Source organism: Homo sapiens, chromosome 12, assembly GCF_000001405.40.
Source record: "Homo sapiens chromosome 12, GRCh38.p14 Primary Assembly".
NCBI classification, from domain to species: domain Eukaryota; kingdom Metazoa; phylum Chordata; class Mammalia; order Primates; family Hominidae; genus Homo; species Homo sapiens.
Window position 1 is genome coordinate 76,074,552 of NC_000012.12, and position 27,155 is coordinate 76,101,706.

The 27,155-nt window shown below is 40.9% G+C and overlaps 1 protein-coding gene and 1 long non-coding RNA gene across 10 annotated transcripts in view, besides 6 other annotated features; one reads left to right on the plus strand and one right to left on the minus strand.

The window, feature by feature from the left end:
• The window catches only part of NAP1L1 (nucleosome assembly protein 1 like 1), a 48,101-nt gene extending 37,967 nt beyond the window's left edge, over positions 1 to 10,134 (minus strand). For 7 of the 9 annotated variants that reach the window (NM_004537.7, XM_017019340.3, NM_001330232.2 and 4 more), the window contains exon 1: positions 10,016 to 10,134. The gene's annotated coding sequence lies outside the window, so the exon portion shown is untranslated. Of the gene's footprint in view, positions 1 to 9,281; positions 9,392 to 10,015 lie in introns of those variants that run through there. The other 2 variants (XM_047428879.1, XM_011538393.3) reach the window with 1 other exon arrangement.
• Positions 9,449 to 9,518: a silencer, noted in NCBI's record as "silent region_4665". NCBI's record gives its function as "represses an Ori minimal core promoter by ATAC-STARR-seq in GM12878 lymphoblastoid cells {active_cell/tissue: GM12878}" and the evidence as "EXISTENCE:reporter gene assay evidence [ECO:0000049][PMID:35858748]".
• Positions 9,569 to 9,628: a silencer, noted in NCBI's record as "silent region_4666". NCBI's record gives its function as "represses an Ori minimal core promoter by ATAC-STARR-seq in GM12878 lymphoblastoid cells {active_cell/tissue: GM12878}" and the evidence as "EXISTENCE:reporter gene assay evidence [ECO:0000049][PMID:35858748]".
• Positions 9,699 to 9,748: a silencer, noted in NCBI's record as "silent region_4667". NCBI's record gives its function as "represses an Ori minimal core promoter by ATAC-STARR-seq in GM12878 lymphoblastoid cells {active_cell/tissue: GM12878}" and the evidence as "EXISTENCE:reporter gene assay evidence [ECO:0000049][PMID:35858748]".
• Positions 9,864 to 10,405: an enhancer, noted in NCBI's record as "NANOG-H3K27ac-H3K4me1 hESC enhancer chr12:76478195-76478736 (GRCh37/hg19 assembly coordinates)". NCBI's record gives its function as "activates a minimal SCP1, AML or CMV promoter by ChIP-STARR-seq in primed H9 embryonic stem cells {active_cell/tissue: H9 hESC(primed)}" and the evidence as "EXISTENCE:reporter gene assay evidence [ECO:0000049][PMID:30033119]".
• Positions 9,889 to 9,968: a silencer, noted in NCBI's record as "silent region_4668". NCBI's record gives its function as "represses an Ori minimal core promoter by ATAC-STARR-seq in GM12878 lymphoblastoid cells {active_cell/tissue: GM12878}" and the evidence as "EXISTENCE:reporter gene assay evidence [ECO:0000049][PMID:35858748]".
• Positions 10,409 to 10,568: a silencer, noted in NCBI's record as "silent region_4669". NCBI's record gives its function as "represses an Ori minimal core promoter by ATAC-STARR-seq in GM12878 lymphoblastoid cells {active_cell/tissue: GM12878}" and the evidence as "EXISTENCE:reporter gene assay evidence [ECO:0000049][PMID:35858748]".
• On the plus strand, positions 10,534 to 12,182 carry LOC124902970 (uncharacterized). The gene is made up of 2 exons (XR_007063379.1): positions 10,534 to 10,616; positions 11,660 to 12,182. It is a non-coding gene; the product is annotated as an uncharacterized LOC124902970 (long non-coding RNA).
• The last annotated feature ends 14,973 nt before the right edge of the window (positions 12,183 to 27,155 follow it).

Genomic DNA, 27,155 nt, shown 5'->3' on the forward strand with positions numbered 1-27,155 from the left:
ATAGGAAAGGAACAGTACAAAAGGATCTTCATTCAAATTCTTTCAACAATCAAGAAAGGTCAATTTCTGCTTAAATTTTTAGACTACGTAGCATCTTAAATCCATTTATCCATTTCGTATTTAGCAATATTCATTTTATGTAATTCATGTTTAAGAAAACCAAAATCTGATGCCTACTGTACTCACTATGCCCTCTGGATATCTTTTTAAAAGACTTAATCCCTGGATCAAATAGCCATTTAGACTATTTCAAAAGCTCTAGGTCCCAATCTTAATGTTAGGTAAGCCTTCCCTATCTCTCCAAATGTACATGTACCTCATGTTAGATAACTGACAACCACCAACCTCCAGCTTCCCCTAGATATGCTAGGGACATTGTCAAGACTTGTGGTTACCAGACCTGAGTAAGTTTACTGTTAAGACTCACCAGAGGATATCCTAAGTTCCTTCTCACTAAAAGATTAGTATGAACCTGGAGAATACTGCTTTTGGAAAAACAAATCTTAAAGCAGATGTGTTATATCCAGGCAGAAAAAAATGGTAGAATGCCACAGGTAATCTACAGATTACCAAAAAAAACTAAACCAAGTTTAGATAGAATCCATGTTAAAATCAAGTTTATCTTAGCCAGGCACAGTGGCACGAGCCTGTAATCCCAGCTGCCCAAGAGCCTGTAATCCCAGCTGCCCAAGAGACAGGAAGATCTTTTGAGCACAGGAGTTCAAGGCCTGCCTGGGAAATACAGCAAGACCCTGTCTCTAAAAAAATTATGAATAAATAGAATCAAGTTATCTGGTAAAAATTAAAATCTTAATACATATTTAATTCACAAAATCCTGCATGTGTTTACTTTCATAGCAACGTATTATGCCTATGAACAAAGAGTTAAAAATGGAAAACATCCTGATTTTAGCAGTTAAGTGCTAATATTTGGGGGAAACATTATTACTGACCTAGTATCTATCCTTTAGAGTAATTATAAAGAAAATTATTCTTCCTAATGTATCTAACTCTGTAAATATTTTGTATTTGTTATAAATAATTCCTAATAGTACTGATGAATTTTTCTAGTGATGCTGGGTAATGAGTCAGCATTTACAAAGTGTTTAGCAATTATGAATATTAATCAAAAATAAGAAAAATACTGAACTCTGACATCAAAGAAATCCAAGTAGGATTCCAGTTTGTCTACCACATCATCAATAACTTCTTTTTAATACAGGGAAACCTGTAGTGCACATGCATCCTTATTTCCAGCTAGTGTTCCCGTATCTTTTCTGGAGAGCAACCTGACAATAGGAATATCAAAAGCCTTAAACATGTCCATCTCAGCCAGGCACCATGGCTCACACCTGCAATCCCAGCACTTTGGGAGGCCGAAGCAGAAGGACCGCTTGAGGCCAGGAGTTCAAGACAAGCCTTGGCAACACAATGAGACACTGTCTCTTAAAAACATAAAAATTAAAAAAACAAAATATGTCCATCTCCAGATTTATTCACTTATGAGCTCTACCATGAAAAAATTATAAAGAATCTAATGCCTTTGCTTTCCATGTTCACCTAGAAGGTTCTTCCACAGCTCTGAACAAGTCCTGCACATCCTTTGGCTCTCATTTCAAAGTTTCACTCCCCAGAGATGCTTTCTCCAACCTGCACATTCCGGTTAAGTAAGATTTCTTGGTTGTACACACACTCCTATAAAGCTTTCTTTTCTTTCCACCATAAGATGTCTCAGTCTGTAATTATAAATTAGTTTGACCTATGGTCTGTCTCTCCCAACTGACAAAATTCATGATTACAGGAATTAAATCTGATCTTGACAATCATAGCGTTGTCTTCTTTGGGGTAGCACACAAAGCTTATTATAAACTTAGTACTATAATGGAATATGCAAAAATGGAATGCTTTGCAGTCACAAATGAAACAGATCTGAGTTGATATGAAGGAACACTAAAGCAAGGTATAGGATGTATGCCGAAATCCCCTTTGGATATGGAAATATATATATATATATATATATATATATATATATATATATATATCTCCACTCATATACGCACATACTTTAATACAAATAAACCCTTTCTGAAAACAAACACCAAAAACCTAACCAGAGTAACCTAATGAGAAAGAAGGGACTGGGGGTAATGAGAACTAATTTCCCATTCACCATTACAGTCATGTGTGGATTATATGTTCTGAGAAATGTGTCTCTGGGTGATTGTATTGTTGTTCAAACATCAGAGTATACTTACACAAACCTAGATGGTATAGCCTACTACGCACCTAGGCTATGATATAGACTATTGCTCCCAGGCTACACACCTATACAGCATGTGACTGTATTGAATACCATAGGCAACTTTAATATAATGGCTAAGTATTTATGTGGTGCATGACTGCATTTGGTTTTCCAACACACAGATTTATATAATAATTTCCAATACACAAATTTATTCTGAGATTTGCTAGGTTTAATATATAGTGTCTACTAAACCCAGCAATTGTCAAAAACAGAAACAAAACCTAAAACTTCCAAATTTAAATTTTTGTAACATTTTAATGTGTTCACAGAATGGCTACACTGCTAACCTCAATGTCCATTTGCAGCATTACATTTACAGTTTAAATTCTTAAAATGAAACTTTAGTAAAGAGGATCCAAGACAGAACATTTACAGAACATTAACAGGAGGCATTTACTCCTCCAGAGAAGGCTGCTCTAACCTGCCCATTCTGGCTACATTGTATTTCTTGGTTGTAAGATAGACCTAATTTTCTAGTCAGTTGTAGTCAGATCATTTGGGCTGACATCAACTTTGTAGCAATCTACAAACTAAGACAAACAACTTCTGGCTCTATTTCATCATCTATATAAAGCAGAAAAACATCTGAGGAAGTGGGACCCAAAAATCTGCATTCTAAACAAGAAACTCAGCTTCTGAGAGGTGGTTCTCAGGTAGACCACATTGAGAAACACAAGTTTAGGTTAATACCTGTATTAATATTTTACTGCAGTTGACATTAAATAAAATCAGTGAGAATCTTATTTGTTATACATTAAATTGCATTCCAAGATCTCTGTGAAAAACTTTCATTCCTGAAAGCGACAAACTAGATTATGCAGATCAATTCTACCAATGAAAAATATGGCCGGACGCAGTGGCTCACGCCTGTAATCCTAGCACTTTGAAAGTCCAAGGCAGGCGAATTGCCTGAGCTTAGGAGTTAGAGACCAGCCTGGGCAAAATGGTGAAACCCAGTCTCTACTAAAATACAAAAAATTAGCCGGGCGTGGTTGCACACACCTGTAGTCCCAGCTACTCAGGAGGCTGAGGCAGGAGAATTGCTTGAACCCAGAGGAGGAGGCTGCAGTGAGCCGAGATCACACCGCTGCACTCCAGCTTGGGTAAGAGCAAGACCCTGTCTCAAAAAAAAAAAAAAAAAAAAAGGAAAAGAATTAAAAGTACAGATGTTTTTTAACAAAAACATTTTGTTAAAAATCTTAAAAGCACTGAAATGCTAACAAGATAGTAAGGAATCACCAGCCCAAAACTGAGGGCAAAACAGGAGCAGAAGGAAGGCACTTTTGCACTGAGGTCAACTGCCAATTATCAGCAACGTGAACTTTGGTTTTAACCAAAGTTAAAATTCTGGGCCTGTCCACGGTGGCTATCTTTATGGTAACCCTCCCAAATTAAGCAGGAACCCCAAAATGCTATATCCTCAAGAATAAATTCATTCTCCTGGACAAACAGCCCAAATTTACCTCATCTGTATTGCCCTCCAAACCCCAAGCTATGTACTTAAAATGATCTGTCCCTGGTATATTCAGACACCTGTATATCAAAATTAAATGAAAGCTTCCTTCTAGACCTTAAAAAATTCATACAAGTAATTTTCACAGCCAACAGGAAAAACAGAAAATATAACAGAAATCAATCCTACACAAAGACTTAAAAATTGTCAGACTATAAACAAATACATACCTACAGACATAGTAAGCCTGGTTGTCTTTGATCTAAGTTTGAAAACACACTGTCTGCAAGGAAGTCATCTATTAAAGGTGATATAACAAAATTTGGAAAACTAGAACTTCTAGAAATAAAACTAATGAATCAAACTAAATGGGCTGGCTTAAGAGTAAGATACACAGCTGAAGAGAGAATTAAGTGAGCTGAAATGAAGCCTAGAAGAAAACTTTGAAAATATGGCAGAGCCACAGAATCTAAAGGACTGAAAATACTGAAATGAAAAGACATGTTAAGATCCAATGAAGCCTAATAAAGACTTCATACAAGTTCTGGGAGCAGGAGGACAGAATATTTGAAGAAGTTAATACGCAATAATTTTCCATTTCCTTAAGTGATGAAAGACACCAATCCACAGATTCAAGTAGCCCTACAAATCAAAACCATAAAATAAAGAATCCATATATATATATACACACACACACACACACATATATTTATCCAGCTCCGGATACATCAGTAAAAAGGCAAGATAGCAAAAACAAATTCATCTCAAAAGCACACACAAAAAAGGTAGATTAACTTCAAAGGCACAAAAAGACTGACAGCTGTCTTCTCTTCAATAAGACACTAAAAGACAACAGAATCCTCAATATGTTGAAAATAACTAAGGCTCTTAAAATACTATCCCCAACCAAAACATCTTTTAAGAATGAAGGTGAGGCCATGTGCGGTAGCTCACGTCTATAGTCTCAGCACTTTGGAAGGCTGGGGCAGGAGGATCGCTTGAGGCCAGGAGTTCAAGGCCAGCCTGGGCAACACAGATCATCTCTACAAAAAATTAACATGCCTGCTGTAGTCCTAGCTACTCGGGAGACTGAGGCAGGAAGATCACTTGAACCCAGGAGTTTGAGGTTACAGTGAGCTATGATCGTGCCACTGCACTTCAACATACCTCCTTAAAAAAAAATCTGTAATGTAAAAGACAGTTTCAGAATAAAACACTAATCAGAGTTGGTATCACGTATTAATGTCAGGAAAAAATAGACTTCAAGGAAAAACATTAAGATAAAAAGGTCACTTTATAATAAAAGGTTCATACATATATGGTGTGTATAAGATCTCAAAAGACATAACTGACCCTAAAAACATGCTTGAAGGCATTTTTTTTTTTTTTTTGGAGACAAGGCTTTGCTCTATTGCCCAGGCTATAGTGCAGTGGCGTGATCACAGCTCACTGCAGCCTTGACCTCACAGGCTCAAGTGATCCTCTCACCTCAGCCTCCTGAGTAGCTGGGACTACAGGTATGCATTCTCCACCACACTCAGCTATATTGTTTTAATTTTTTTTGTAAAGACAGGGTGTCTCACTATGTCGCCTAGACTGGTCTGGAAATTCTGGGCTCCCGCCTTGGCCTCACAAAGTGCTGTGATTGATTACAGGTGTGAGCCACCACACCTGGCCTCCTGAAAGGAAATCTTCCTTCCTAAACTGAACTAAAAACAAAATCTTCCACTGAAGAGGGGAGGCAACTGACTGAACTAATTGGATACATAGAGCTGACATAAGGCTAAGAAACCATTACCCAACTGCAGTCACATAACGTTTCAGTCAACACAGGACTGCATATACAACAGTGATCCCACAAGATTATAATGGAGCTGAAACATTCCTATTGCCTAGTAATGTCACAGCTCAATTCATTATTCATGTTTGTGGTGATGCTGGTATAAACAAACCTACTGCAGAGTCATATAAAAGTATGGCACTTACAATTATTTACAGTACATAATACTTGATAAGGACAATAAATGATTTATTGGTTTATGTATTTACTATACTATGCTTTTTGTGGTTAGAGTACACTCCAACTTATTTTTAAAAAAGTTAAAACTGCCTACAGTATTCAACATAGCAACATGCTATACAGGTTTGTAGCCTAGGAACAACAAACAGGCTATACCATATAACCCAGGTATGTACTAGGCCGTACCATCTAGGTTTGTGTAAATACATTCTATGACATTCACAAAAGGATGAAATGGCTTAATGATGCATTTCCCCCAGAACACATCCCCATCATTAACCATGCATGACTGTGTATGTAAACAAATTCTATGCTGGAAGAAGACTTCATGACCATAACTGCTATACAGCTTTTCCCTAGAGCACAGTGGGATACAAGGTGGAGTGCTTTTGAATTTCATGCTGCTATGGTTTGAGTATTTGTCCCCTCTAAAACTCAAGTTGAAATTTAATCCCCTATGTGGCAGCACTGAGAGATGGGGGTCTTTAAGAAGTGATTGGATCATGAGGGCTCCACCCTCACAAACGAATTAATCCATTCATGGATTAATGTATTTCTTTATAAATTACCCAGTTTCCCACCAGGGGAGCTGGAGAGCCAAGCTACCCAGTTAGCACACTCAGCCCCCTCCCCATGTGATACCCTGTACTGCCTTGGGAACCTTCAGAGTCTCCACAAGTAAGGTTCTCACCACATGGGTCCCCTCGATCTTGGATTTCTCAGCCTCTATAACTGCAAGAAATAAATTCTTTTTTTTTAAATAAATTACTCAGTTTCAGGTATTCTAAGCAACAGAAAATGAACTAATATTCATGCTGATTTATAGCAGAACAGTGTAAGTCAACATTCTTTCAAAACCAGGATAAAAATTATCTCATCATAAGTTATCACTGCTCACGTACGTAACCACGGACGGGTTATCTAACCACTCCACACCTATTTTTTTTCCTTGTTAAAATGTTGATGCTACCTGTCTCTAAGTAAATTAAATGAGCTAATAATACACACAGAATTTAAAACAATGCCTGAATAATCAATCAGTGTTGCCTATTACATTATTTATCCCTGTTATGCTCTTCTGTACCCTCTTTAGAAAATAATTCCAAGACTGAAATTATAACTCTAGACAGGTGTGGTGGCTCACACCCATACACTCAGCACTTTGGGAGGCCAAGGCAAAATCGCTTGAGGTGAGGCATTTAAGACCAGCCAGGGCAACACAGCAAGAGCCTGTCTCCACAAGGAAAAAATATATATAACCCTGTTTCCCAATAAAAATTAAAATGTACAAAACTTCTGAATAAGTAAAAATATATACAAATATGCAGGAAGTAAAAGGCAGAGTTGGTAACCAAAGGTATAGAAGCCATTTTCTATGGCAAGCCCACTAATGTACTCTAATGTTCTGTAGTCATTGTGCTAAACGACTTACATATGGATAGGTGTAAAGTAACAACTCTCTCCTTCTAACCCCTATTCTGCCCAAAAACTTATTTAGATGAAACTAGTTTGAAATGGAACTTAAAATCATCAAATTATAACAGGTTCCTTTGTGTAAACGCTGTATTACTCTTTGACCCCTTTACCCTTTCCTTCCTTTATAGCTCTCATCACAATTTAACATTCTACATCTAAGCAACCAATTTGCCTCTTTTGCTCATGACATAAGATACATGTCCATACAGGTGCTAGATAGTTACCCAAAGACTAAACTGAGAACACAATTACAGGTTTGATTAAACTTGAAGATCTGAATACACTGATCATTAATATTTTGATATTGATGAGTCATTCTCTCTAATCCTTTGTTTCAAATTTACAACCAAGAAGTGAATAAAATATTGTATTTTGACATCTTCAGACCTTTGAAGTCCAACAGATACTGCTTCTTTAGCCCCTTCTACAAAAAGACCCTTAGTTTTGAATATATTTTGAGAATTTAGAATCAACTCAGTTTTACCAGGAGCCAACAGGAGCAAGCTGAATAAAATGAGATGGCATTTTGGATTACATTAGTTATGGTACAGGTATTCGTTTCAAAAATCTCATTAAAGGCCAAGTGCAGTAATTTACCATATTCAGTATTAGCTTTATAATTCTGCAAATCAATGGGCCTAATATAAAAATAGGCACTTTGTAGCAGATAAAATTTAGAAAGATATTCAAATTGGTATAGTGAAAACTTTTAAATTTCTATTTACTAACATAATGTTGACTTGGAGAATCTATGAAAGTCAGGTTTTATGACAGAAGATGTCCAAGTCCACCTACCAGGGTTTAGTTCCATACATTCTCCAAAGGACAGTATTCTTAGAACTAAACTATAGATTTAGGCCATTTATTTAAACTTGGGCAACTTCAAACAAGCTTGAAACACAAGAGTGCCTTGAAAATAACTGTAAAAGTCATTTACTTCCCTTCGATTTTTAAATGGTACCCTATACATAAAAGGTTTTTCCCTTATTCAATCAAAGGTAATGTATATTACTTCCAAAGTATAGGAGTATTAATTTAAGCTGACCAAAAAAAGAGGACCCAGATACTCGTTTCCAAAGATGTTTTGAATCCACCTATTTTCAAAAGGCCAAATTTCATTTTACAGCTCTTGTGAAACCAGGCAAGCAGTGTAAATTTTAAAATGCAGCAGTGGGATATCTTCAAATGTAGCAGTGAGATTTTTAAAATGTAGTTGTTTCAAAACTGATCAGTGACCGTCTAAAATACGGGCTCCTTGAGGACATCCTGCGCCTGGTTCATCCTTTTTGCACTCTCAAAGTCTAGCCTTCCCAGATGGGACCTCAGTCCCAGCCCCCCTACACTGCCATCCCCCAGATCTTTAGGGCAGTAGGGTTCATTGACAAGGTTGCAGGCTACAAACTTGGCAAAGTTTATACTAACACCTCATTCCATCCCACCTCCCATCTTAAAAAGGAAACCGTTAAGTATCTTATTCTAGTGACTTCAATAAAGGAACTAATTTATAAGACAGCCAAGAACAATTAAAGTCATAAAGGGCCAAACATTTTATTTTCATCTAAGAACCGTTTGCAGGGGTGGTCCGATCTTTTGGCTTCCCTGGGCCACACTAGAACTGTCTTGGGCCACACGTAAAATACATTAACTAGCTGATGAGCTTTTTTTTCCAAAAAAAAAAAAAAAAAAAAAACCTCATGAATTTGTGTTGGGCCACATTTAAAGCCGTCCTGGGCCGCGGGTTGGACAAGCTTGGTTTAGGGGTTTAGATCGATCAGGATCAATACTCCCCAAATAAAAAACCCTGATCAAGACACCCATCTAACAGTACCTGGGAAACACAATAACAACCTTTTGCTAATAACAGTTAATATAAGCGCTATATACGCGTTAACTTTTTAAAATACTAGCAGTGGAGGCCCTTCCTTATCATCAGCTAACATCCACAATCTCTGGTACCAATAAAAAGATTAAGACCAAAGAGAAGCAGGGAAGAGTTTGAAACCCAGGGACAGGGCTTACTCGCTTACCCTTCCTTTTCACATTCCACCGTCTCTACAACTTTCAAAGTAAGCACAGACCGAGGGCAAGGGTCTCCAACCAGGCCCAGCCAGTGGCCATGAAGCCCATTACCACGTGTGGAGCGAAGCCGCCGGGGGTTTCCCCTCCCCGCGCGGCCGCCCCCAATGGGCGGAGAGCCCGGGAGCGTCGCAGCCTCCCCCGCCCCCTCCCCGCCTCGGGGACTCGTCCCTCCACAGCCCCTCCCTCCCGTCGGAATTCGCAGCCTCCGCCGTTCTTTTCATCTCCCAGCGGCCTCCCTCCTGGTATTATTTTTGAGGGAAAAGCAGGGGGGTGTCCAAGAGGCGGCCGGCTCTGCACTCGGCCCGGCCCGTACGCCGGGGGCCTCCCGGTCCTCGCGGCGCAGCCGAGTCTCAGGGCACCCGGGCGTCACCGCGGCCTCGCTCCGGTCCACGCGGAAAAGACGGTGGAGCTCAGAGAACCTTAGGCCTCCAGGCCGCGCCAACCCCTACGTCGCCTCAGCCGTCCCCGATAAAAGCGCTGGTCGGCCCCGGGGCCCCTCTCAGGCTCCGGGGTCCGGACTCCGCGGTCCTGTCCGACCTCACAGGACGACCCCGGAGGCCACGGGCGGCCAGCGGCCCCGACTCCCGGCTCCCAGTCCCTCCATCCCTCCGGCCCTCCCATCTGCGCAGGCCGCCCAGCCAACACCACGTTCCCCCTTCCCTTCCAGGCCCCCATCCGTTACCGGCGACTAGTATGGGGAGCCAGGCGGCCGGAGCTGCGCAGGCAGTGACTCAGGGCGGCAGCGGCAGCAGCAGCGGGAGGAGCAGGAGGCGGCGCCGCGAGCAGATGGCGCTAAAAAAGACCCAAGAGCCCGCCGCTCGCGCTCATATACAATTAGCGTCAGCACGTAGGGCCCTTTCGCCGCCCTCCTCCCGGCCTTGTAGTCTCCCAGCAACGCGAGCGAGAGGCGGGTCCAGGCCGGGTTGCCTAGCAACTGAACCGTCCTCCTTCCCCGGCGACCTCCATACCCCCACCGAGGACTCCTGCAGCCCCGAGGCCCAGGCGCCGCGCTTGGGCTCCTCTGGTTCCCGCCGGTGTCTAACCTCCTCTGTTAAGCACCCCACCATATCTTTTCTCCCTGCTGAGCCGGAAAGGAAATTTCAACCCCATCAGTTGTGGGGAAGGCCTGGCCCGCGTGCCCGGCGCCCGGCCCGCCCCGCCCCCTTCGGCGTTGTGCTGGGAACGCTCAGGGCTGGCGCCAGTCGCCTGGTCCCTCGCTCGCCGCAGCCTAGACGGCGGACGCTCCCTGTCAAGGCCTAATTCCTGCAACTCGCCGGCCCCCGGTAACCGTTTTCCTTCCCCGCCTAAGAAAAACAGTTTTTTCCTCTAGACCACTTCGGCGGCCTCTTCTGACAGTTTTGCTTCTCCTATGCCAGCGGGTCTCCGCGCCTTTAGGGGGTGCTCGTCATCCTTTGCCCCCCAACCCCCCGCCACATCCTCGTAACTGATGTACAGTCCGTCAGTTCGGCTTCAGTTCTTTTGACGGATGAAAATGGCATATTTGTGCATTCTCTGGATGCGTTATAATGAGGACACTCAGTACGTCCGTTGTTTCATCTTTCTGAAAAAGTAAATCACATTAAATCCTCAGGCTTGTAAAACCTCATAGCTAATTTTCAAGTGATGATGAATTGACTAATACTAACTCAAAAAGTTGTTCTCAGAGTATGGTCTGAGGGTCCCCAGACCCTTTCATGGGGAAGGTCAAAACTATTTCCATATTAATGTCAAGACTGCCTTTTGCATTCTCATTCTCTCACAAGTGTACAGTGGGGTTTTCCGGAGGCTACGTGACATGTGATAAGGAAACAGACTGAAAATAGAAGCAGATAGGAGAATCCAGTCATCTGCGGTTAAACCAGACGTTAAAGAGATTTGCAAAAACTCGATTTGGGGGCAAGGGGGAGTAGTTATTTTTCATATAAAAATTATTTTTTGTTAATATTTGATTGCTTTATTGTTTTTAAATGAAATACTCTTAAAATTTCTCACTTTTAATTTCTGATATAAATATCAGTATCAGTAATGCACATAAAAGTTCTTTGGGGTCCTCAACTTTTAAAGGAGTGTAAAGGAATCCTAAGACCACAAAGTTTGAGAACCTCTTCTCTAAATCTTGCATTTATTGAAACTTCAAACTGCCTAGAATCCCCTATTGTAATCCACACATTTAGCAACTTTATCTTCCGTTTTAGGGGATACAATGTTTTCCTTGGCCCTCCAGAACCTCATTGAAATTATTTGCCTTCCCACTCTATACTGCAGACGACTCTGTTTATTCATTCATTTTAGTTTTTCATATACAATTCCTTTGTTGTTCTCATAGCCTATTCCTGTACACCCTTCTCAACAATGATGTAATGATACAAGGAGCATAATAGCATCAATAATGGATCTTCAGGAAGAACCCACTATACATAAACAAGGTAGACCAGTGCTCAGTTTGAACATAAATTTGACACATTAATTTCAATAAGAACTTCAGGAATGTTGCATTTTAATCAAAGCTGTGCACGATGCAAGGTAATTAGCATATTAAAATGAACTAAATAACTTTCACTTTCTTTCCATAAATCTTTATGGTAGCAGAATTTCTGAGACAAAATTGAGAAGTTAGCTTTTGTGGTGGTTTTTATCCCACACCAGAGAGCCTCATCAATTTTCGGCACTTCGCTCATGAAGGCTCTGGATTTTTTAGGTTTCACCACCCCCCCACCAACCCCTATAACTTAGGTGTTATCATTACCAGTACATATGCTCTTTCCCCCTTTTCTCCAGCTTCCTCTTCTTTTTTCAGTGTATCCTAGCCAATCTAAGAAACTAAACAATAAAATATTTCTAATAATGCATGCCTTTGTAATATAGTCTTTTGAACCAGTTTGTAAATCTAAGTCTTTGCCATTAAAGTTCAGGGAAGGGCAGACATTTATGCATTCATTCAACAAATATTTATGTCAGGCACAACTTCGGACTCTGGAAATACAGCATTTAGTAAGAAAGACACGGTTCTTGATTTTATTGAAGTTATGGTCTAGTGAGGTGAGGCAAATGATTAGAGATAAAATAATTTTACTAATAAAATATTAGTAATAAAACAATTTCACTTATCAATAATAAATAATTGATAAGTGAATGCTATAAAGAAAATAAAATGAGAAAAGGGGTAGGAGGTGACTGACCTGAAGATACCTTTGAGCTTTTTTTTTTTTTTTTTTTCGACGGAGTCTCACTCTGTTGCCCAGGCTGGAGTGCAGTGGCGCGATCTCGGCTCACTGCAACTTCTGCCTCCCGGTTTCAAGCAATTGTCCTGCCTCAGCCTCCCGATTAGCTGTGACTACAGGCAGGCGCAACCACGCCCAGCTAGTTTTTTTGTGTTTTTAGTAGAGATGGGGTTTCACCATGCTGGTCAGTCTGGTCTCGAGCTCCTGACCTCAAATGATCCGCCTGCCTCAGCCTCCCAAAGTGCCGGGGTTACAGGTGTGAGCCTCTGCATCCGGCCACCTTTGAGCTTTTTACATTGGCCCCTCTTATACCCCCAAATCACACAATGTAGTTAACTCATCTAACTTAATTGCAATAAATGGTGACCCTGGTCACTGATCTTGGGCCATGCGAAATTTTCTGTTGCAGTTCCTTTTCTCATGCTCTCTTTGGAAGCATATATACTAAAATTAAAGGTCCTTTTTTCTCTATCTCCCATGATTTTCATTTGGTAGACTTTTATAGCATTGTAGCCTGGAGGCTTAGAGGGGTGGCTTTGGAGTCAAACAGCCTATTTTGTCCCCATTTTTCTACCACTTAATAGCTGTGTAACTTTGGATAAGTCAGTTAGCCATCCCAGGTTTCATTTTCCACATCTGTAAAATGGGGAAAATAAGCATGCATTTTTCATAGGGCTGTTGTGAAACTTAAAAAAATTTTTTTTTTTTTAAGTCAAGAGGGATCTTGGTATATTACCCAGGCTGGTCTTGAACTCCTGGACTCAAGAGATCCTCCCACTTCAGCCTCCCAAAGTGTTGGGATTACAGGCATGAGCCACCTTGCCCAGCTGTGAAACTTTTGGAGACAGAGTCTCACTCTGTCACCCAGGCTGAGGTGCAGTGGCGCAATCTCGGCTTACTGCAACCTCTGCCTCCCATGTTCAAACAATTCTTGTGCCTCAGCCTCCCAAGTAGCTGAGACTGCAGGTGCGCGCCACCACATCCCACTAATTTTTTTGTATTTTAGTAGAGATGGGGTTGCACAATGCCCAGGCTGGTCTCAAACTCTTGAGCTCAGACAATCCACCCGCCTCGGCCTCCCAAAGTGCTAGGATTACAGGTGTAAGCCACTGTGCCTGGCTCAGCTGTGAAACTTTAAATAACACATTTAAGTTGCTTAACATAATGCCTGACATATATAGTGACCGCTCAATAAAAGGTAACCATTTTTAACCTCTTACTGAAGTTTTGTTTTTATTTTTGTTTTATTTAAAGGTTTAAGGAACTACCCCGAAGTCTTCTGATAGTGTCTGACACTTTTTGTGACATATTTTATTAAAAGCTATCTAGTCACAGCTTTTAAAAGACATTTTCCTGAGCTGAAATAATCCACACCAATTACCACAAAAATATTATAGTCAACATTTCTCAATATTGGATAAGAACTATGAAGATCAACAAGAAATTTGATGACAAAGATGGTATTTTACCTGTGCTTGTGTCTGTGTTTCAGCCCCTATGTAGTAGAAAAAAAAGCATAGGCTTTAACATCAGACAGGTATAGGCTCCTTCAACACTGTGACCTTGCAAAAGTACTTATCCACTCTGATCTTCAAGCTTCCCTATCTGAAAAATGCATTAATAATTATAATAAAATCTGTGTCTTTATTAGCATGAAATAGAGAAATGTATGTAAGTTCCCAGAGCAATGACTTGCCCTTTAAGTACTCAGTATTTATTTTCTTCCCTCTGAATTAATCTGTAGGTAAAACATCCAAGGGAACTAATAATAATTATCATCTAAAAACTGCACAAGATACATTTAAATAACAGTTACGTTAGTTTCAGATCTGGATTTTTTTTCTACTTTTCCCCAAATTAATTTATAGCTGCAATGTAATCAAATTCCAAGTGGAAAATTATGGATAAGATGCCTTACATTTTTCTCTCTACATTCAAAAAAAAGGATTAATAGTTTTTTTGTTTAAAAAAAAAATCTTTTTTTTTTTTGAGACGTAGTTTTGCTCTTGCTGACCAGGCTGGAGTGCAATGGTGCGATCTCGGCTCACTGCAACCTCTACCTCTGGGGTTCAAGCGATTCTCCTGCCTCAGCCTCCCAAGTAGTAGCTGGGATTACAGGCATGCACCACCACGCCTGGCTAATTTTGTATTTTTAGTAGAGACGGGGTTTCTCCACGTTGGTCAGGCTAGTCTCAAACTCCCGACCTCAGGTGATCCGCCCTCCTTGGCCTCCCAAAGTGCTGGGATTATAGGAGTGAGCCATTGTGCCTGGCTTTTTTTTTTTTTTTTTTTTTGAGACAAGGTCTCACTCTGTCACCCAGGCTGGAGTGCAGTGGTACAACTACAGCTTGACCTCCCTGGCTCAAGTAATCCTCCCACTTCAGCCTCCCATGTAGCTGGGACTACAGATGTACACCTCCGTGCCTGGCTAATTTTTTTATTTTGGGGATCTCACTATGTTGCCCAGGCTGGTCTCCAACTCCTGTGCTCAAGAGGTCCTCCCACCTCAGCCTCCCAAAATGCTGGGATTACAGGCATGAGCCACTATGCTTGCCTTGTTTAAGAATATTTTTATTTTCCTGTCATTACTTAACTGAATTTTTTATTGAAATGATTATAGATTCACATGAAGTTTTGAGCAATAACACAGAGAGATCCATGAAAACTTTCCCCAGTTTACCATAATGGTAACAATCCATGATCTTATTCAGATTTTCCCAGTCTCACTTGGATCCATTTGTGTGTTTATGGATTTAGTTCTATACAATATTACCATTTGTGGCTTTGTGTATCTGTCACCAAGAAGATACAGATCAGCTATATCGCCCAAGGATCCCTTATGTTGCCCTTTCATTCATTTATTTTTAAATTTTAATTCTTTTTTTTCCTGGACAGGATTATTGCAGTGTATGTTGACCTTTTATTATGGTCAGGGTTTTTTGTTTTTTTGTTTTTTTATATGCCAAATAATGTTCTACATTCCTAGATTTTATTTTATTTTGTTTCTCACACATAGACCACTTAGGTAGAAAATATGCCATTGTTAGGCTGGGCGCGGTGGCTCACGCCTGTAATCCCAGCACTTTGGGAGGCCGAGGCACGTGGATCACCTGTGGTTGGGAATTCAAGACCAGCCTGACCAACATGGAGAAACCCTGTCTCTACTAAAAATACAAAATTAGCCGGGCATGGTGGTACACGCCTGTAATCCCAGCTACTCGGGAAGCTGAGGCAGGAGAATTGCTTGAACCTGGGAGGCGGAGGTTGCGGTGAGCCAAGATCGTGCCATTGCACTCCAGCCTGGGCAACAACAGCGAAACTCCATCACAAAAAAAAAAGAAAATATGCCATTGTTTTGTGCGGGCCTTCAATATTTCTTACCTAAACCATTTGCAATAGCCTCACAGTTGGTCTCCCTAATACCAATCTCTTATTCCACTTCAATCTACCAAAGTTATTGCTCTAAAATATAAGTCTAATCAAGTCAGAGAAAGTTCTCTGACTCATCAAGACAAAGCTGGCTGCAAACCCTTCTCTGTTTGCGGACAACACTTGTATGTGGGTATTTATGTAGATATGTATTTATTAATTAATTCATTCATTCTTTCATTCATGAGCCCATGTTTCCTTCTCCCATAACACACACCACACTAGCCTGTTAACTGCTGCAGGGCAGTGTTATGTTTTTTACATACCCTTGGTTTAAACAGTGACTGGCCGTGAACAGCTTTCAGTAAATATTTATTTGCTTGAAAGAATGAAATGAAAGGAAGGATGCAAGGAAGAAAGGAAGGGAAGGATGGAGAAAGGAAATAAAGAGGTTATTGAAAACGAACAGGAAGTCACAATACTTCATGTAAATAATCCTTTTTTGAAGTCTATTACATCAATTCTACATTTATCATAGAGTCTATATTGGACAAATTTGACAACCTAATCTGCACAAGAAGATTTTGAATATGGTTTGGACATTGTTTGGGTTTTCGTTTGAATATTATTTGGGTATTTGTTTGGATATTATTTTCCCTCATCCATGAAACAACTTGCTGGTAAAAAGAAAGTAAAGAAATGTTGATATATTTTAGATCATAATGAATAAAGAAAACAAATTACACAGTATAATTTGGAGACAATCAGAGTGCCCATTACTGGGACAATTGAGAGTGAAATGTTGTATATGCACAACATGGAGTATTATGTAGCAGAACATTGAATGTAATATGGCAATATTGAATCTTTAAAATGTAGTGGTTGCAAAATAAAGCCACAATGAGGTACCCTTACACACCTATTAGAATTGCTCAAATTTTAAAAAATACATTAGTACAAAATGCTGACAAAGACATAAAAGAACAGGAACTCTTAACTCTGCTGGTGGGAATGCAAAATGGTCCAATCACTTCAGAAGACTGTTTGGCAGTTTCTTCAGTGGCTCACGCCTGTAATCCTAGCACTGTGGGAGGCTGAGGTGGGAGTTTTGCTTGAGCTCAGAAGTTTCAGACCAGCCTGGGCAACACAGCAACATCTTGTCTCTACAAAAAATTTAAAAATTAGCCAGGCATGGTGGTGCATGCCTGTAGTCCCAGCTACTCAGGAGACTGAGGTGGGATGTTCACTTGAGCCGGGGGGAGTGGAGGGGTGTATGTGGGGGGGTCGAGGCTGCAGTGAGCAGTCGTGTTGCTGTTCTACAGCCTGGGTGACAGAGCGTGACTCTGTCTCAAAAAAATTTAAAAATAGGCCGGCAGGCACAGTGGCTCACGCCTGTAATCCCAGCACTTTGGGAGGTTGAGGCAGGTGGATCACCTGAGGTCAGGAGTTCCAGACCAGCTTAGCCAACATGGCAAAACCCCATCTCTACTAAAAAGAGAAAATTAGCCTGGCGTGGTGACCGGCACCTGTAATCCCAGCTACTCAGGAGGCTGAGAGGCAAGAGAACCACTTGAACCTGGGAGGTGGAAGTTGCACTGAGCTGAGATCATGCCATTGCACTCCAGCCTGGGTGACAGAGTGAGACTCCATCTCAAAAAAAACAAAAACAAAAACAAAAACAAAAAATGAACAACAAAAAAATTTTAATAATAAATGAAATAAAGTTTAATATACATTTACTATATGACACAGTAATCCTTCTACTGAGTAGTTACCCAAGTGAATTGAAAACTTATGTACACACACAAACACACACACGTATACAACTTTATTTCTAACTGGCAAAACCAGGAAACAGTCAAGATCTCTCTCTGCAGGTGAGTGGATAAACAAACAGTGGCACATTTATACGATGGAAATAAAAAGAAAGGAGCTACTGATTCTGAGGTAGGAGGCAGGACTTGGCTCCAGAGGTGGGGTTTGGACATCAGGATCAAATTGAGGACTAGCTAAAACAGGTCTAGGGTGGAAGCACCTCTCCATAAGACACACCCACCAGTGTGCTTGTCAGTTTACCATTGCCATGGCAACACCTGAAAGTTACCACCCCTTTCCATGGCAATGACCTGGAAGTTACTACGCTTATTCTAGAAACTTCTGCATAACCACCTCTTAATTTACATATAATTAAAAGTGGGTATAAATAGGACTGCAGAAGTGCCTCTGAGCTGCTACTCTGGGCACACTGCCTGTAGGGTAACTCTGCTCTGGCAGGAGGAGTACCTTTGCTGCTGCTGTACCCTGCCACTTCAATAAAAGTTGTTATTTAACACTGCCACTCACCCTTGAATTCTTTCCTGGGCAAAGCCAAGATCGCTCCAGGACTAAGCCTCAATTCTGGGGCTCACCTGTCCTGCATCAATTCACTCAACAACATGGATGAAACTCAAATGCATTTTTGCTAAGTGAAAGAAGTCAGATTCAAAACTCTATATATTACAATTCCATTTCTACAGCATATGTAAAAGGCAAAACTATGAAAATAGAAAGCATCAGTGATTGCCAGGGGTTGGAGGAGAGGTGCAGAGTTGACTCCAAAGGGGTTGTAGAGGGGATTTTTTAAAGATAATGGAATTGTTCTATATTTTATAGGTAGTGGATATATGACTATATACATTGAGCAAAATCCATTTGCTATATTCAATTTTTCAGAAAATCAACCAGATGTTGGGGGATCCTAGGATGAGATGCAGACTGTGACAAATTAATCTAACTGAATTATAAACATATAATCTCACTGAGGGGGTGAGTAAAAAAGGAGCTGACTTTCGAAAACAGTATTTTGACTGGACACTATAAGGCTAAAGGCAAAAAGAGCTACACATAAACATTGCACTATAGTTGATAAATTTATTTATCAAAGAGATAATAAGCATTAGCAATTTGGAAACTAATTTCCCTGTATACTAGGAAATCTGTATTCGTTTGCTAGGGCTACCATAACAAACTGGGTGGCTTAAGCAATACGATGTATTTTCTCATAGTCCTGGAGGATGGAAATCCCAAATCAAGTTGTTAGCAGAGTTGGTCCCTTCTGAGGGCTGTGGGTGAAGGATCTGTTCCAGATCTCTCTCACTGGCTTGTAAATAGCTGTCCTCTCCCTGTGCCTCCCTCTATGTGTGTGTCTGTTTGAATTTCCCTTTTGTATAAGGACATCAGTCAGATTAGAACCCACCCTAATGACCTCATTTTAACTTGATTATCTCTGTAAAGATGCTATCTCCAAGTAAGGTCACATTATGAGGTACCGGGGTTTAGGACTTCAACATATGAATTTTAGGATAACACAATTCAACTCCTAACACTAGGGTTTGGCAAATAACTAAATAATTGTAGATAATGGGAGCCAGGTCTCTTGCTACTGGGAAAAAGTCACAAATAAGCAAGGAGAGAAGGCTAGAATGAACCATGGGGTGCTGGATTAGGGTCAGAGATAGAGGTATGAATGAATTCATGCTTATAGATAGATGATAGATGGATGATAAATAGATGGACAATAAAGATGTATATATACATAGGCTAATATATTTCCTAGCTTTGCCCACTGAGGAAGCCTAGAAGCAATGTGATATAGTTTGGATATTTGTCCCTGCTCAAATCTCATGTTGAAATATAATTCCCAATGTTGGAGGTGGGGCCTGGTGGGAGATGTTTGGGTCATGGGACAGAATCCTTCATGGCTTGAGGCTGTCCTCACCATAGTGAGTGAGGAATGAGTTCTCATGAGATCTGGTAAAATGTGGTACCTCCCCCACTCCACTCTGCCAATGTTATGCTTGCTGTACAGGCTGCAGAACCATGTGGCAACTAAACCTCTTTTCTTTATAAATTACCCAGCCCCAAGTGTTTCTTTTTCTTTCTTTTTTCTTTTTTTTTTTTTTTTTTGAGATGGAGTCTTGCTCTGTCACCAGGCTGTAGTGCAGTGGCATGATCTCAGCTCACTGGAACCTCTGCCTCCGGGATTCAAGCAATTCTCCTGCCTCAGCCTCCCAAGTAGCTAGGACTACAGGCACACACCACCATGCCTGGCTAATTTTTGTATTTTTGTATTTTTAGTAGAGTCAGGGTTTCACCATGTTGGCCAGCATGATCTCGATCTCTTGACCTCATGATCCACCTGCCTCGGCCTCCCAAAGTGCTGGGATTACAGGCATGAGCCACGGCACCTGGCCAGGTGTTTCTTTATAGCAATACAAGAACAGCCTAACACATAGTGACACCACAGTAACAACAAGCATGACCAGTTCACAAATCTTAGTTTCTAAATACCATTTCCAATTAAAGGAGGGAAAACGCAAGACGAGTCTGGAACATCTTATAGTGCTAAAAAAAAAAAAAAAAAAAAAAAAGAAAATTATAAAAGTAGGAGAGAGGTCAAAAGGACACCAGAGGCAATTGGAAAGAGTTCCCCAGTGGCCAAAGCTGGAACAATTTCAGCAAAAAAACAAAAACAAAAACAAAAAAACCCAAAAAAACCAACAAAACAGTGATAGTATTGGATTATAATTCAGAGAGTAAAATAAATATCCATGAGTCCATAATGATATAAGTATTATTGAATAAATACTTAAGTGATAAAGGGAGAAATTTATCTTATAGAAGAATTCTAGGCTTGGCGCAGTGATTCACGTCTGTAATCCCAGCAACCTGAGATGCCAAGGCAGGCGGATCACCTGAGGTCAGGAGTTCGAAACCAGCCTGGCCAACATGATGAAACCCTGTCTCTACTAAAAATACAAAAATTAGCTGGGCACTGTGGCAGGTGCCTGTAATCCTAGCTGCTCAGGAGGCTGAGGCATGGAGGATCGCTTGAACCCGGGAGGTGGAGGTTGCAGTGAGCCGAGATCACGCCATTGCACTCCAGCCTGGGTGACAGAGCAAGACTCCATCTCAAAAAAAAAAAAAAAAGAATTCTAAAGAATATATGTAGACACTCCTCTCTAGGAGATAGAGATTAATCCTGTCCTTTTGGTTGTGGTATGGAATTACAATGACTCACTTTCAAAGAAAATAGTATGGAAATGGAAAAATATTAACTTTATAGTGAAGAAACCTGGCAAACACTACCTTAACTAAATGATCAAGGTTAACATTATGAGTTATAAGCCATGTTGGCATCAAGTACATCATGATATAATGGGGTGAGATGAACATCTTTACTAATTAAATACAAACACATATTATACACATTATAATTGGAATAGAAGATAATGGGAGTGAAGTACAGAAATAAAAGGGAATCAATTTATTGATCAAGGGGGGACTTATCGGAATGGGAAGAATTATAGAATAAGTTAAAAAAAAGTGGAAGGTAGCTATGCACCTTTCGCCAATAACAGAAGTTCAATACTTCATTTCTCAATATTCCATCTCTGCAGGATCAAATTGTGATTCTCTTATATTTCAAAAGATTAGTTCTTGAAGGTAGAAGGAGCAAAAAGCAGTAAAATTAGATTTGTCATTAATCGTAATGCTAAGTAAATTTGAGCAATTAGAGCAAACTAGAAATAAAATCTGGAAATAAAGAAAAATCAAGTCAATGGCAACAGTAATAACCACTGACACCACTTCTCTGTGCCAGACACTATTCTAAAGAGTTTTGCAAATACTAACTGATAGAATCCTCACAACAACCCTATGATATACTGTTATTATCTCTGTGTCATAGATGAGGTAGTTGAGACTCGGAGAGATCCAGCACCTGTCTCCACACCATATTAGCCACTAGTGGCAGAGTTAGGATCAGAATACAGGCAGCTTAGCATCAAATCAGACCCTGAGCCTGTGACTCCATCCTTTCCAGTTAAAGGCATAAGAGGGAGTCCCAGAATTCAAGGAAATCACTGCAATATAAACAGACAAGTAAACAAACTGTTACCACTCAATGTAAGTGTAACAATGGAGGAGAGGACAGCGAGCCAACTTCACAGAAGTGACAGTGAAAACAAATCTTGACAGGGAAGTAAGAACTTGCTTTGTGACAGGATAGGATTTCTGGCAAGAGAATAGCTGTATGAAAGAAGTTTTGGACTGATTGTTCAAGGCTGTGTGGAAAATACATTGCAGAATACACTACTCAAATGATAACTTCCACCTTTGGCTGGGCGTGTATTTCACATACAGAAAAACTCTAGCAAAGCCATCATTAAATGTATTGATATCAAATGTTTGTCAGTTTCATTTGGGCCTATTCATCCTCACTACCTTCAGGAGTTAAAACTGAACCTCTATTAGAAATATCACTTCTAGGCCACACGGGGTGGCTCACGCCTGTAATCCCAGCAGCTTGGGAGGCTCAGGCAGGTGGATCACATGAGGTCAGGAGTTTGAGACCAGCCTGGCCAACATGGTGAAACCCTACCTCTACCAAAAATACAAAAATTAGCCGGGTGTGGTGGTGCACATCTGTGGTCCCAGCTACTCGGGAGGCTGAGGCAGCAGAGTCACTTGAACCCGGGAGGCAGAGGTTGCAGTCAGTGGAGATCGTGCCACTACACTCCAGCCTGGGAGACAGAGCAAGACTCTGTCTTAAAAAAAAACAAAAAACAAACAAACAAAAAAACACACACACAAAAAGGAAAAAAAAAAAAAAAAGAAATACCACTTTTTAGTAATGAAAAAAATACAATACATAGTTTCCCACAATCAGGGTGGTATTATGTATACAGGTCATGAGCCAGATTAAACCTATTCTAAAATCATATGAAAAAATTATTTTGGGCTGGGAGCAGTGGTTCATGCCTGTAATCCCAGCACTTTGGGAGACTGAGGTGGGCAGATCGCTTGAGTCTAGGAGTTCAAGACCTGCCTGGGCAATATTGTGAAACCTCATCTGTACTAAAAATACAAAAACTAGTTGGGCATGGTGGTGCATGCCTGTGGTCCTAGCTACTCGGGAGGCTGAGGTGGGAGGATCACCTGAGCCTAGGAGGTCGAGGCCGTAGTGAGCTGTGAGTGAGCCATTGCACTCCAGCCTGGGCAACAGAGTGAGACCCTGTCAAAAAAAAAAAAAAATTGAAATAAAATAAATAAAAAATATTTTAGAAACATTTTTGAAAAATATGTTACAAAAATCCAGGAGAGAGTAACTGAAACAGTAGGAGTTGAGGCAGCAAATGCTACCATTAACTATGTGTTGAGTATTTTTCTAAATTGCCTGAATGCTTTATCTCATTTAACTCTCATAACAACCCTGTGAAGTAACTACTACAGTAGTCCCCCCTTGTCCGCGGAGGAAATCTTCCAAGACCTTCAGTGAATGCCTAAAACCAATGAATAGTACCGAACCCTATGTATACTATGTTTTTTCCTATGTGTACATACCTGTGATAAAGTTTAATTTATACATTAGAGTAAGGGATTAACAATGATAACTAACAGCCAGGTGCGGTGGCTCACACCTGTAATCCCAGCACTTTGGGAGACCAAGGCGGGCAGATCACAAGGTCAGGAGTTCAAGATGAGCCTGACCAACATGATGAAACCCTGTCTCGACTAAAAATACTAAAATTAGCCAGGCGTGGTGGTGCGCGCCTATAATCCCAGCTACTCAGGAGTCTGAGGCAGGAGAATTGCTTGAACCCAGGAGGCGGAGGTTGCAGTAAGCCAAGATAGCGCCACTGCACTCCAGCCTGGGCGACAGAGCAAGACTGTCTTAAAACCAACAAAAAAAACCACTATGTATTACCTACAGTAAGTGGCTAAATGTCACTTGTTTCAGGAGATCCCATGCTGAAGTCTTTATACAGCCTCAAAGCTTTCTGGCACAACATGTTTTCTGTCCATGTCTTCCACCCATACATTTAATGCCTTCTCCATCTTAACTAAGCAGTTATGCACTGTAATAAACTTTTGTAGTTTGAGGTGCGACAGCAAAACAAGCACAAATTCTTTTTTCCTTCTTCGGAATTTCACGTTTAGATTCATTCTTACCATAACAAACACTTTTTTAACCTATGATTCTTTTACTCATTAATTTGAAAACTTTTACCTTTTCATTTTACAACTTCCCTTTCGCATATCTGAATTGCATCACTATTCTTGCACTTTGGGGCCATATTTAAGTCAAATAGGGATACTAGAAAAAAACACTTCAATACCACAACAATCTACTACAATTAAGCTACAGCCTAGTGGGGAGAGCAGATTCCACAGTGTGGATATGCTGGACAAAGGGATGATTTACATCTTGGGTGGGACAGGGTGGGGAAGCATGAGATTTCATCATCCTATTCAGAATGATGCACAATTTAAAATTTTTGAGTTGTTTCTTTCTAGAATTTTCTTTTCTTTTCTTTTCTTTTTTTTTTGAGACTGAGTCTCGCCCCGTTGCCCAGGTGCAATCTTGGCTCACTGCAACCTCAGCCTCCCGGGTTCAAGCAATTCTCCTGCCTCAGCCTCCTGAGTAGCTGGGATTACAGGCACGCGCCAACTACGCCCGGCTAATTTTGTATTTTTAGTAGAGACGGGGTTTCACCACATTGGTCAGGCTGGTCTCAAGCTCCTGACCTCGTGATCTGCCCGCCTCAGCCTCCCAAAGTGCTGGGATTACAGGCATGAGCCACTGCACCTGCCCAGGAATTTTCTATTTAATGTTTTCAGACTGCGGTTGACCACAAGTAACTGAAATCACAGATAAAGGGAGACTACTGTATTGTTCTCACTGTTTTATAGATGAGGCAACTGAGGTACAGAGAGGTTGAGTAATTTACACAAAGTTGCAATCAGTTTAGTAACTGTCAGATCCAGGGTTCAATGACATCAGGTAATTCCAGTTTTCTTCCTTGTTGTCTTTGATACAGAGTCTTGCTCTGTCACCCAGGGTGGAGTGCAGTGGCTTGATCTCAGCTCATTGCAACCTCTGCCTCCTGAGTTCAAGCAATTCTCCTGCCTCAGTCTCCCCAGCAGCTGGAAAACAGGCACCCACCACCGTGCCTAGCTAATTTTGTATTTTTACTAGAGATGCGGTTTCACCATATTGGCCAGGCTGGTCCTCGAACTCCTGACCTTAGGTGATTTGCCCGCCTTGGCCTACCAAAGTGTTGGGATTACAGGCATGAGCTACCGCGCCCGGCCAAATTCCAGATTTCACAGAAAAGAGTGATCCTATTTGTACTTCAATTAATTTATTAATTCAACAGATGGTCTAGTATGGCCTAGATCGGTGACTACAGATGCATATACCTATAGGGGCCATTCCAGAAACATATCGTGTGAAGTCAGCCAAGCGTAAGACAGTGGGGAGCAATAAGAATTATGAATAACAGGAGACCATAAGCTTTGTTTAAAGGGGGAAGCTGGGCAGGGCACAGTGGTGGACACCTATAATCCTAGCTATGATCTCACCACTGTACTCTAGCCTGAGAGAGTAAGACCCTGGCTCTAAAAAATAATAAATAAATAAATAAATAAATAAATAAAGTAGGGGCAGCTACCAACCTCAGTTGTTGTTACATGGGGACAGTATTCTCACATTTTCCAATTTTTCAAGAGATACTGGAAAAACATATTTTTATATGAATATATAATCTTCCATATGAATATATATGAATACATAAAATCTTCCAATTTGGGAGAAACAGTGTATAAAATGAGTTCTGTTCTGGACATGCCACATTTTCACTAGCTGTAGATTGTCCAGCAGTTAGAAATTTGACTGTACAGTTCACGAAAATTACTTGTGAAGCAAGCACAGATTCAGAAATATTTAGTGTGCATGCAGAAAGGAGAGCTATTCATGGAAAAGGTGTAAATTAAGAAGAAAATAAGAGGGTCGGGCGTGGTGGCTCATGTCTGTAATCCCAGCACTTTAGGAGGCCGAGACAGACGGATCACCTGAGGTTGGGAGCTCAAGACCAGCCTGGTCAACATGGTGAAACCCCGTCTCTACTAAAAATACAAAAAATTAGCCTGGTGTGGCGGTGGGCCCCTGTAATCCCAGCTACTCGGGAGGCTGAGGCAGGAGAATCGCTTGTGGAGGTTGCAGTGAGCCGAGATCACACCGCTGCACTCCAGCCTAGGCTACAGAGCAAGACTTTGTTTCAAAAACAAACAAACAAAAGGAAGTGTTTTAGTTCCATTTTTCCAACTTCAGTGGTATTTTATTATCATTAAAATTATTATTTTATCTCTTCAGGTGTTCTTTTTTGGTATTGTTTGCTCTTAGGACATTTTGAAACTTCTGAGATAGTTAACAAATTTCCTCAGAATCACCAATAACAAAAACTATAATTTTTGTGGGAAAGCAATACCCATTTAGGTTTATAATTATATACAAAGCAGAATTCTTCATATCTACAAGTTAAAACTTGGTTCACATATTAAAAATTATTTAGGTGGCATGTACCTATAGTCCCAGCTTCTCAGGAGGCTGAGGCACGAGGATCCCTTAAGCCCAAGAGTTAAAAGAGCAGCCACGGCAACATAGTCAGACCCCATCTCAAATAATAATAATAATTTATAGCTTAGCTCAGACACAATTTGTTTTTCTTTTTTCTTTTCTTTTCTTTCTTTTCTTTTTTTTTTTTTTGATACCAAGCCTCACTGTCACCCAGGCTGCAGTGCAGTGGCACAATCTCGGCTCACTGCAACCTCCGCCTCCCGGATTCAAACATTCCTCCTGCCCCAGCCTCCCGAGTAGCTGGGATTACAGGCACCTGCCACCATGCCCAGCTAATTTTTGTATTTTTAGTAGAGATGGGGTTTCACCATGTTGGCCAGGCTGGTCTTGGACCTCAGGTGATCCACCCACCTCAGCCTCCCAAAGTGCTGAGATGACAGGTGTGAGCCACCGCACCCTGCCTTGTTTTTCTTTTTTTGAGCAGAGTCTCACTCTGTCACCTAGGCTTCAGTGCAATGGCATGATCAGGGCTCACTGCATCCTGGACACCTAGGATCAAGCGATCCTTCCACCTCAGCCTCCCAAGTAGCTGGGACTACAGGCTTGAGCCACCAAGCCTGGCTAATATTTTAAATTTTTTGTAGAAATGGATTTTGCCATGTTGCCCAGGCTAGTCTCAAACTCCCAGCCTCAAGCGACCCTCACATGTCGGCTTCTCAAAATGCTGGGATTGTTGGCATGAGCCACCTCACCTGGTTCAGACACAATTTTACAATGAGTATAGGATACTTTCATGAGCAAGGAAGATAAAGGATCCTATCTACTTGTTGGGT